Source organism: Homo sapiens, chromosome 15, assembly GCF_000001405.40.
Source record: "Homo sapiens chromosome 15, GRCh38.p14 Primary Assembly".
Lineage (NCBI taxonomy): Eukaryota > Metazoa > Chordata > Mammalia > Primates > Hominidae > Homo > Homo sapiens.
The window spans coordinates 57817836-57830190 of record NC_000015.10 but is presented as its reverse complement, the minus strand read 5'-3'; the positions used below and the strand labels follow the sequence as shown (position 1 = coordinate 57830190).

Here is a 12355-nt window from a genome sequence, read left to right as displayed (position 1 = left end):
AGTATTTACAAATATACAATTCACTTATATGATTGTTTTATATTCTTTAGGTGAATTGTTCCTTTTCTAATTCTGTGTTTTTTTAGGTTCCCTAAAGTTTCTTTTTGCTAGAGTCTGCAAATAAGCAAATCTGCTGTTTGCTTATTAACTACTGTTTTTCTGTTTATGTAGTTCATTTTCACATTTAGCTCATTTCTTTTCTAAGTTGAACGCATCCTCTTACGTCTTAAATATCAGTTTCATTTTTCTATTTCCCTCAAAGGAATAAAATGACATAGTAGTTTCACCTGTGGCTAACCAGGTTCGAGTCCAAGGCTTGAATTAAAACTGAAAAGTAGGGGACTTCAATTTCATTTCAAGTATGCTTTGGGGAACATGCCAGAGAAGGGAAAGGGATGGAAAAGAGGCTGATGCATGCTCAGAGAGTGGCTGCAAGCAGTTCAGAGCTACGCAGAGGGAGTGGCGGGCATCAGCGGCAGTGGTATTCACAGTTAATTGATTTGCTTCCTCAGTTGACACATCTTTTAACGAAGACTTTGGAACCCAAATGCAATAAACCAAGCATGAGTCTATTATATTCTATACTCATAGAAAATGTTTTACGAATCAAAATCTGAAGCTTATTTGTATAATTTTAATTTTAATCCTAAGATACACATATATAGAGGGGTAAGATGGAAATGGGAACCCAGAGAAGACAGTGTAGTAAAAAGAGGTGGGAACTTAGATCCAAAGAATCCAGTTCTGCCACTGCCTAGCTGTAATCTCAGGCAGCTTCCCTCCAAGTTATGGATTTGTTTCCTCCTTAGAAGGAAGATCAGACTTAGATGATTCCTAATGTCTCTTGCAGCTCAAATGTCATGTGACTACAGGAGCTCCCCTTGCTCTCCTGATCCCATTCTGTCTCTACGTTGGTCAGACCCACAGAACCTTGGATGGTAGGTACCCCTCTCACTGGCTGACCACACTCTTCTCTCATATGTTCATCTTGTGTGTGTGTTTTCACTTGATCTACCATATAAGCATCTTGTCAGTTTAAACTGTGTCACGTTTATAATTGTATTTTCTACTGTGGTCGGTATTGTGAAATGGTAAGTAAACGGCAACCAACGAATGGATAAATAAATTTTATTGGGGATAGAACTGCAAGATGACCACATCAATATAGCTAAATTTCAACAAGATTGGTAAAAGATTCCTTGATAACTATGTGGACAAACTGGAGAAAAGATAAACAGGATTCAAGGGTGATTAGGATAATTCATAAAGGGTTGAATGTCTATAGTAAATGGATAGAAGTCAAACTGGGGGATGTTTTCTTGTTATTGTTTTAAACCAATATCTAGCATGAAAATACACAAGAAATGAACCTGTAGATTATACAAAAGTGGAGCAGCAAATAAATATGAGAGATAGTAGAAACAGGTTCTTAACAAACAGATCTTGACAGGCCCTAAAGAGGGGCAAATTTAAAATGAAGTTTTCCAGGGTTAAGTGTGAAGTTCTATATTTGAGTTAAAACAAACAAACAAACAAAAAAACTGTTGCCCAAGGTCAGGATGCAGGAACCATTGCTTAGTATTGGCACATGTGAAATAGACAGGGGTTTTATTAACAGAGGATAACTCAAATTTAATTGTGTTATACATAGTTCTGTCAAGCCATACCTACAGTATTACGTTTCATTTTGTGTGCCATATTTTCACAAAGACATAGAATGGCAAAAATGCAAAGGAGAAAGCCAGCCATAATGGCCCATGCCTGTAGTCCCAACTACTTGTGAGGCTGATGGGAGGATTGCTTGAGCCCAGGAATTCAAGTCTGTAGTGTACAATGATTGTGCCTGTGAATAGCCACTGCACTTCAGCCTAGACAGCATAGCAAGACTCTGTCTCAAAAAAAGAAAAGAAAGAAAGATGCAAAGGAGAGTGACTGGAGTGTTGGAGAGGGAATTTGAAATTGTTTAGGGGCTGTGGTAATTTCTGGCCTGAGATGAGGAGGTTCTCAGAAAACAAAGCAGCTGCCTGCCGCCTGTCAACACTTGTAGTACTCTCACTTAAAAGAGACTTTATACTATTTTTGAGGGGCACCAAGAAATAAAGCCAACTATTAAAAACCACAGGAAGTCTGGTTTTGGCCAAACATAATACGGTGGGAGTCAAACAAACTGGGTTTGAATCCCAATATTGTGACTAACTTGCTGTATGACCATAAATGAGATACTTAACCTTTTGTCTATCTCAGGTTCTTCCTCTGCAAATCTATCACATGGGATTATTTTTTAATTTGTAAAACACTGAGCATAGTATTTGGCATGAGGAATTCTATAATCGAAGTTTTGATTTATCCAAGTTGCTAAAAGGTGGAAGAGGATGTAGTAAGCTACCTGTCTCTGGGCATGGTGATCAGGAGCTGGGTGACAAGATGTGTACATTGAAAAGGGGGCAGTGTGGGAGAAGAGCAGAGGCAATTCAAACCCTAGATGGATTCTCGACTCAGTATATGTTAATGTATATCCAACACTGTGGCTTGTCATAAAGGCCCTTTATATAACAAAAGAACAGAGGATTTGGAGTTGATTTCACCCTGGCTCTTGTGCTAATTACATGTGGGACTGTGAACCAGGTAACTTACCTCTCTAAACCCTGACATCCTTATCTCCAAAACTGTTTGGCATCCAAACTGAGTTTGTACCATGCACAGCTCAGAGCATTGGTTGTGAGTCAAATACAACATCGTTATGAAAGCATTTTGTCAACTCTAAACCCTATATAAATATAATGGATTATAATTGTTATAATAACTCTAAATTTACTTTTTCTGTCGTTCCCACCAGGAAGTTATATTGTGAGTCAATCCTGAAGTTAAGCAGGAAATCAAACTTAGATGATCATTGTGTATTCCACAAAGACACTCTGAGTCTTTGATATGCTCACATTTCCCTTTTTGCTCTAGGTATGAGTCATATCAGAACCAACTTCTAACAACTGTTCAGGACTGTGTGTTTGTTTACTATGGCCATGCCTGCCAATGTGGGGGGTAGGGTCAGAGCAGGTGTCATTTGGGAGATGATGCCTAGGCCGAGTCTTGAAGGATGAGAAAAGTATTAGGCGGGGGGACACAGGAGCGAGAGGCCTCTGTGCAGAAGAACACGGGCAAGGGCACAAAATCGAGGGCCGGGGGGAGAGAGAGGTGGGGAGCAGCCACAACCTGGAGGTGCATATGCGGCTCGCAGGTGGATATACACTAGTGAAGACAGGAACCAGGGAGGGAGGGTCTTCTCCTCAGGGATAAATATACACTTTATTCTTCTAAGGGCAAAGAAATATGTCAAAGGATTTCTTTTAAAATACATTTAACGTGTTTTACAATAATATTTGTTTTCTACATATGAAAAATATACCCAAAAAGTTGGGGGGGAGGGGGTGGGGGGAAACAGAAAAGTAGAGGGAAGAAGAGGAACAAATTACCCAGGGCTCTACTGCTGAAGAAAACTCCAGCTAACATTCCACACAACTGAAGGGTTCTAATCAAAGTCACACCCACAGTGTCTGGTTTACTTCTGGTAGCAATGAGGAAAATAGGCTGAAGGGGAATTGAACATAAAGCAATTGTTGCAAACACTTCTTTTTTAAATAATTAAAGTTTGAATACTGCTTGTTTTCAACAGAATTCATGGTTGGGCCTTCCCGCGTCTCTAACACATCAACCCCTTTATCTCTTATGAAGCTGTTCCACCTCAGTCTCCCCAGTTAATCACAACCATCAAGCCATGTCTCAGAAACAATCTGGGCCTCTGGCCCTGCATCCCCAGATATCATTCCCATCCCTCCCAAGCAGCTGAACCAACATCTCTTGAAGCGACCAAATGGTGGACACATCACTGGCACACCCAGTATCCACACTGGGATTTCAGCAACCTTCTCCTGACAGATTTCTTCAGAGTATCCACACAGGGGTCTTCACTCACAGGAGAGCCTGAAAGGCTTCAGGGTGACAAGCCCACCGCCCACTTAGGAGAGCATCTGCAGGAATGGGACAAAGGGTATTCGTGACCCTCCTCTATGATCCAGACCACCAAGGGGCTGGGAAGAGCATCCAATCTTGTTCAGCCTAGTCCGATTCCTGGGTGAGGGGAGGGTCAGCCTCCCAAGGTGACCTGGGCATATTAGTTACCTTCACATCAGGAAAATGATTTCCACTCTCCCTACCTTATAGGGTCTTAATGAAGATTCAGTGACCTTTGTGCCTTAGAAAGATACAAATTGCTGTGAATATAGAGAAAACTGACTCCATTTGCCCGAGCACTAAGGTAACTGTTTAAAATTTTAAAATTTACACACCCTATGCTCTCAGATATAGGAGCAAATGACATGGATGAATGGATAGTTAGATAGGAGGGGGAGAGAGAAATATAAATGTATATATGAATGTATATATAAAATATGTATTTATCTATGTTCGTATTTACATATGGAATCCTAATTTGGAATAGCCAAAATTATTCTTTTAGCCCCAAGCAAGCCTGTTCTTTTACCTTTTTAAAATCATATAGCCTATCCCCACCCATCTTGCACACTTTCTTGATCTCCTAGCTTTCTGGGTGGTATTTACTTGGGAAAAAAAAAACTGAGATGGAAGAAGCCCCTTCAATTAGGACTCGAGATAAACAACAACAGAGGGGCTGGAGGGACTTTATCCAAACATATGATTCTTTGGGGCTCTGTGACAGGCCATTTGGTAGCTGGCATATGCAACATCCATTTCAAATCCCATGAGTGACTTTATCAGAGAAGATGAGGTTGGGGGTATGTGTTACGTGCATCAATCTCAAAACAAAATATTTGATCAAAGTTTCTTGTAGTTATCTGACATGTCCAGTTTTTCTGATGCTTCTAGACAACCCATTTCCTCCAGATGGAGAAAGTCTTTAAGATTCAATTTGTAATACACATTATTTTTAGTATACTCACAATGTAAGCCAAATATTTGTGTGGATGGGGGTAGGAGTGAGTGTACAGAGAACATGCTACATTTCCTAATTAACTGAATTCAACTAATACTATATGCCTAGAACTGTGCTGGGGACTGGAGATACCAAAATAAATGATTCATTCAGTACAAATATTCTAGTGATGCTTGTTGCATTGAAGAGAGGTGGTTTGAGTATAAGGGAGCTGACTACTGAACACTTATTAGCTACCCAGTCACTCTCATCAGCAAAACTCTGCCGAGGCTCAGCCTGTCTCAGGGATGGAGTTTGTCTTACGTGCCAAGACATCTATCTCTTTGGATTCAGTTTGTAAGTCTTACCTACTTTTGGCTTCTAGGCTCAAAAAATCTCAGAAAATGTTGGGTTTTTAAATGGTTCTACTTAAGAAATTCTTCAGCAGGAATTAGTACAGGTAGGTGGATAAGTATAACCATGAAGAGACTTGCCAGGGATGACCCTGCTTCAGAAGGGCAGCTGGGATTTTGAGCCAGGTCTTCTAAGTCCAGTCTGCATAATCTTGACAATCAGCAGTTGTTTGCAGACACCAACTCTGACTGGATGATCGTGGGGATTCAAGAAACTTGAAATTAACTCAGTAACTGGTTTAGACCCTGCTGGGTCCCACCTTATCCTTCAGAAGTGTTCCAGTGACAGGGACAAGTTGAAAAGAAAGGCCGGCCCCAGCTCACGCATTACAGTCAAAACCATTTGTTTTGTTAACCTCATGTGAACATTACAAATGTGTGATGGAGCAGAGGCCACATCCTTCTATAGATTAGCAATTTCTTTAGTCAGCAAGGCCCCTCTACCTTGACCTTCAAAGGAAATACTTCAAAGCAAAAAGCCAAGGTCCTCTTCAGATGGTGGAAACTCTGAGGTGGCTCTTGCTTTGAACTCAGAGGGCTTGGGTGTCAATGCCAACTAGTTTGACATTGCTGTTTGTAAAGCCTGTGTGAGGTGGGTTGGTAAGTGTGTATCTCTCTCCCTTTCTAAATGCATTACGTGTTGGTGGTGTCCTCCTTTCAAATTATTCTTTACATCAAATGAGCTGTGGAACAACATCATATGGGAAAGTCTCCTACAGATGGATTTTAGCAAATGAATTTGTGTTTTTATACAGACTGACCATGAGTCGTCAGAGGAACATGTTTTAAACAAGGGCAGCCAGGGAAAGAGTTTAATCTCTGGTATTTTCAAAGTCTGAGTTGGGGTCACAGACAGCTCTATTTTTCTGTCTTTAAGTCAGCAAACTCTAACACAGCCAATGCTGGCCAAGCTGGAGGCCATACCCACCCCTCATACCGCCCCATACCCACCCCTCAACACAATCACAAGAATTCTCAGAGCACCATGGCTATTATTTGGAGATAGCGTTGTGCCTCCCAGTTCTCTCTGCGCACTCAATTTGTGTAACAGAACGTTCTTTAAAAAGTTAAAAGTGTGATACCGACATAGCTATTTTTATCACATTAAATAAACTATGAGATAAGAGAGGCAGCTTGGCCCAATGATAGCACTTCTAGTTACCATTGACGTCCCCTTCCCATGGAAAGCAAGGCCTTGTGGAAAACAACCAAGTTCTATTTGGATCTCTTTCTGCTCTTAATGACAGTTGGGGAATGAAGTGGTTTTGACAACCTTGAGCTCCAAGAGTTTTTATCAGCTGGTGGAAAGACCCCTTTCCCCATCAGCTAACACATACAGAAGAGTTGCCTGGCACTCATCAGAAGGGGATGTGCTCCAGTTTGCTCGGCTATTGCTTTAACTATTACACTGCTTTCTAAAACTTTAATGGGGATGCCTCCTCTCTTTACTTTTCTTTTTTAGAACATTTGTTGGAATTCTCCCTTACTCATTCTTCCAGGTAACTTTTAGAATCATTTAGGAAAATTCTAAGAAAATTCCTGTTGGCATTGTATTACATTTTGGGAGGAGCGGACAGCTTCATATTATATATTCATCCTATTCAAGTGCAAGATGCATCTCTTCTTTTATTCAAAGTAATCACAACTCACAGTAACATTCTGTCACACATACGACACATATGTGTCACACATCTATCTCATATATGTCACCCATATCTCATTTGAATTACAGTCATCTCTCAGTATCCCTGGGGTATTGGTTCCAGGACTCCTATGGATACCAAAATCCATGGATGCTCAAGTCCCTGATATAAAATGGCGTGGTATTAACATATAACCTATGCACACATGTAAACTCCCCTATACTTTAAATCATCTCTAGCTTACTTATACGATCTAATACAAGGCAAATGCTATGTAAATAGTTGTTGCAGAACCTGCAGATAAGGAGGTAGATAATATTGGTAGATGAAAGTGAAAGAGTGAGGAACATGACACTCTATACTACTGGTAAGAGTATAAATTAGTGCAAATATTCTAGGAAGGTATTTTGGCAATGTACACCAAAAATTTTGGAACTCTTTTCTAAGAACTTAACCTAAATTAAATGTCAGAGCTGTGGAAGTGAGTTTAGGGACAGGAATATTAATTGCATTGTTGTTTATAACAGCTGAAGAACGGAATCCACCCAAGTGTTCAACATTAGAGGTTAAAATCTGATCCATCCTCTTGAGGGAATACTGCACAGCCATTAAAATTCACATGTGACAGAGTATTTAATGAGAAGATATTTTTCAAAGTATATGTTTAACTGAAAAGAGACTGAATTTCAAAATAGTATAATTGTATAATCCTAATTCAGTATGGAAAAGAAATTATATGCATAGAAATGTTAAGGAATTATCTCAGAACAGTTATACGGGAGATTTTTTTATCTCAGAATGGGTATATGGGAGATTTTGATTCTTTTCATTGTGATTTTCTAGCCTTTCCATCCAAATTTTCATATAAAGAACAAGTATTAATTTCCCGGAATAGAGAAAACTTAGTACATCCTATAAAATATTCCTAGGTGATTGATATTTTGGTTCCTGGTAGGTAGAAATGAGGAATCCATGCTTTGATTTTTAACAGAATAATGCATTAGTTTGAAAAATGTACTCCTTGGTATAAACAAATATTCTGCTCCTGTTTTTCTGTAATGTTTTCATTAAAAGAGGCATTGTCTCCAAGCATCGAAATCTATCAATATGATCTTTGTTTTCCTTGTTGAACCTATTGTTGTACTACATTGTATCACATTTCCTTGAAATGGTCTATTCATGCACTGCTGGAGCCAAAGCCCGATGTGATCTTTGTGTGCAGTTACTAGTAACATAAACTTGCACAAGTTACCCTCTCTGTACCTCAGTTTCTTCATCTCTACAATGGTACTTCACAGTGTATATAAAGAACTCAGACCCCTGGCTGGCACATAGAAAGACCTCTACAAATGTTAGCTTGCATTATTATCATCATTATTAATTTATTCAATATCATCTTACATTATTTTCTTGTATTTCATTTAAGATCAACATTCCTAAAGTGATCTTGCTCTGTAGTTTTATTTTGCTCATTGATATGGTTTGACTGTGTCCCTACCCAAATCCCATCTTGAATTGTAGCTCCCATAATTCCCATGTGTCGTGGGAGGGACCCAGTGGGATGTAATTGAATCATGGGGGCAGTCCTTCCCATGCTATTCTCGTGATAATGAATAAGTCTCATGAGATCTGATGGTTTTATAAAGGGGAGTTTCCCTGCTCACGCTCTCTTGCCTGCTGCCATTAAGACATGACTTCGCTCCTTTTTTATCTTCCACCATGATTGTGAGGCCTCCCCAGTCATGTGGAACTGTGAGTCAATTAAACCTCCTTCCTTTATAAATTACCCAGTCTTTGGTATGTCTTTATTAGCACCACGAGAACAGACTAATACACTAATGGTATCTTGATCGGTTATGCGTACCAAGGTTGTGCTTGCTTTATGTAATAAACTGGGTAGCAGTCTATCTTTTGCTGTGTTCTGGAACAATTCACGTCCCTTGCATTTACTTCAAAAAGGGAAACACAACCTTTCAATTATACAAAATGGTTAGCATGCCAAGTTATAGAACATGATACAGCTGCTAATCATACCAGCATTCCTGCATATATTACAATTTGGGCTCAACAAATGCAAGTCATTTAATTATATCATTTTCAATTTAATGCTATAGACATTTATAATATATTATTCAATGAGAAAAAGAACTTACAGAACAACCTGTGAAATATCATCTAATTTTTCTTTATAATTCCCATATATTCTCTTCTCAGGCATGTGTGCATGTGAGTATGTGTGTACTCCAAAAGCTAAATGGTAATTTCTAAAAAGGGCTAGTAATTAAGGTAATTTTAAAAACTGTTTTTTCTCTGTCTGTTCACCTGTTTTTACACTAAATGTGTATTACTCATGTAGTCAAAAAACAAAATGACATTTAAAACCTATCCCTACATTTATGGTTATCTACTTTGTACACACAATATTCTTGACCTGGTAGGGGATGAAAAAGATCCCTGTGATCCAGCCCCTGCTTCCTAGAAGTTAGTAATCTAGATCTAGATGAAGTAGAAACATACATAACTGTGAAATTGTTGTACAGAATTACAAACAAAGGACTGGAGGTGACCAACATTCTCTGTCTGCCCAGAACTGACGGTTTTTCTAGGACATGGGACTCTTCAGTACTGAAACCCAGACAGTCCCAGGCAAACTGCGACAGCTGGTGACCTTGCTGGAAGAGCCACTGGCAAAGCAGTGTGAACCAAACGTCCATGTGCTTTCCTACATTTTTCAGCCTCCCCCATAGTTCGTTTGGGACCCTATGATTGTGCTCTCACCAATGGGATTGTGAGTATAAGTGATAGATAGCTCCTGGCTTGAGGCCATTAAAAGCAGGCATGCATTCTTCCAGGACTTCCCTCTCTCCTCCTCACCCATGGAATTGGATAATCCTGGAATGGATGAGTTCATTGAGGGAAGCAGCTGAGTTCCCTGAGTCACCACTGGAAAAGACCTACCAAGGAGAGCTTCTTGGCTCACACCAGACTCTGATGTTAGTGATAAGTACTAGGTTGAGCCCCTGAGATTTCAGGATTTATTTTTTAAGGCAGCAAAGTATAACAGTGCCTAAGTAAAAGAGAACCCAGAGCCCAAAGATGAGGGAAAACTTCATGAGAAGCGACTTTATACTACATGAGGCTTGGTAAGAATTCCACATGAAGAAATGAAGTGATGAGGAAGAACAGTTTAGGCGGAAGCAGAGGCAGGTAGGCAAGAAAGGACAGGAAATAGTTGAGGTACAAGAAGTCATGCGTTAGAAGACAAGGCTGGAAATATTGGTCATGCCAGATTGAGGAGGATCTTCCTTCTTAACTCCTCTGAACTCTTCCTTAGGAGTTTGGGCTTTATTCCAAGGACAACAGACAGCAATTGGACATTTTGAGCAATGGTGTATCACAGCCAGAACAGTGTAAAGGAAAGGCTACATGGGAAACACTGGAGGGGGTCCAGGCGTAGGACCAATTTAGAGGTGATGACAGTCATCAATAACCCAAGCAAAGGCCAGGCACAGTGGCTCACACCTGTAAACCCAACACGACACTTTGGAAGACTGAGGCAAGGGCATCACTTGAGACCAGGAGTTTGAGATCAGCATGGGCAACATAGCAAGACCCCATCTTTTTTTTTTTTTTAAGGCAGGGTCTCGCTCTGTCTTCCAGGCTGGAGTGCAGTGCAGTGCAGTGGGGCAGTCTCAGCTCACTGCAACCTCTGCCTCCCGGGTTCAAGTGATCCTCCCACCTCAGCTTCCCGAGTAGCTGGGACTACAGGGCACATGGCTAATTTTTGAATTTTTAGTAGAGACAGGGTTTCACCATGTTGGCCAGGCTGGTCTCAAACTCCTGACCTCAAATGATACACCCACCTTGGCCTCCCAAAGTGCTGGGAATATAGGCGTGAGTGAACCACCATGCCTGGTGCAAGACTCCATTTCTAAAAAAAAAAAAAAAAATTAATTAGCTAGACATGCTGGCACATGCCTATAGTCCTAACTACTCAGAAGGCTGAGGCAGAAGCATCACTTCAGCCCAGGAGTTTGAAGCTCCAGTGAGCCATGATGGTGCCACTGCACCCAATCTGGGCAATAGAGCAAGACTCTGTCTCTAAAAAACAAAATCAACACCCCTGCCCCCACCCACACACACACACACAAACAAACCCAAGCAAGAAGGGATGAAGGCCTGAACTACACCAAAGGTTGGAGGTGTGTAGTGATAGTTAGGTAGCAGAACGTGCTAGACTTGGCTATTCCTAGTTAGACACTTTCATTAGTGGAGAGTGAAGTGGAAGAGGATGCTGTGATTTCCAGCCTTTATGCCATAGAGGATGCTGATGCTCTTCACAGAAACAGGGAACCAAGGAAGAGAAGTACAGGAGAAATGACAGGGGTGATTTGAGACCTGTTAAAATAGGGGACAGAAGGGATTGATGGAGCCTGAGAAAGAGAAGTCACAGAGGTGAGGGGCTGGGAGGAGAGAACAATATTCCAAGAATCAAAGGAGGAGACAATTATATGGAAGAGAAATTGGACAAGAGTATCAGAGGCTTCAGAGAGACTGAGTAAGCCAAGACTGAGAAGGGACCAATGGACATTACACTGGGGAAGTGATCTGGAAGAACATTTCACAATGTAGCAGATGCAGAAGGCAGATAAAAGAGGTTGGGCCAGGCACAGTGGCTCACACCTATAATCCCAGCACTTTGGGAGGCCGAGGTGGGTGGATCACTTGAGCCCAGGAGTTTGAGACCAGCCTGGGCAACATGGCAAAACCCCATCTCTGCAAAAAGTACAAAAATGTGGTGGCAAGCACCTGCAGTCCCAGAAACTCAGGAGGCTACCATGGGAGGATCACCTGAGCCTGGGAGATAGAGGCTGCAGTGAGCCCAGATTGTGCCACTGCACTCCAGTGACAGAGTGAGGCCCGGTCTCAGAAAATAAGAGTTTGGGGTATGGGTGATCAAGCGTAAGCAGTAGGAACTCAAGAGTTTCTGTTCAAGATAACTGTTCTTTTAACTCAACAGTTGTCTATTGGGCTCCAGCTATTTGTCAAGTCCAGCTTCTGGGGAATGTAGTAACAGGCAAGATGTTCTCTGCTCCCTCAAGTGGCTTGTAATCCAGTGGGAGATAGAACCCAGAATGGAAACATGCAGTTTTGATGCCATGAGATAAGTGCTAAGACGGGGTCCACAGGTGTGCTGAGAGAACACAGAGGGGCCCTGCTTTGGTTTCTGGGAGTCAAGGAAGGTTTCTTGGAGGAAGTGCTCTGAAAGCCAGGCCTGCCAGGATGGGAGTCAGGAAGCCCTGGAGTTAGCCAACCAATGAGGCAGGGTGCAAGGTAGCAGGGAGACACTGTAT

The 12355-nt window shown here is 41.2% G+C and overlaps 1 annotated feature.

Moving 5' to 3' along the window:
• Positions 2953–3012: a silencer, noted in NCBI's record as "silent region_6476". NCBI's record gives its function as "represses an Ori minimal core promoter by ATAC-STARR-seq in GM12878 lymphoblastoid cells {active_cell/tissue: GM12878}" and the evidence as "EXISTENCE:reporter gene assay evidence [ECO:0000049][PMID:35858748]".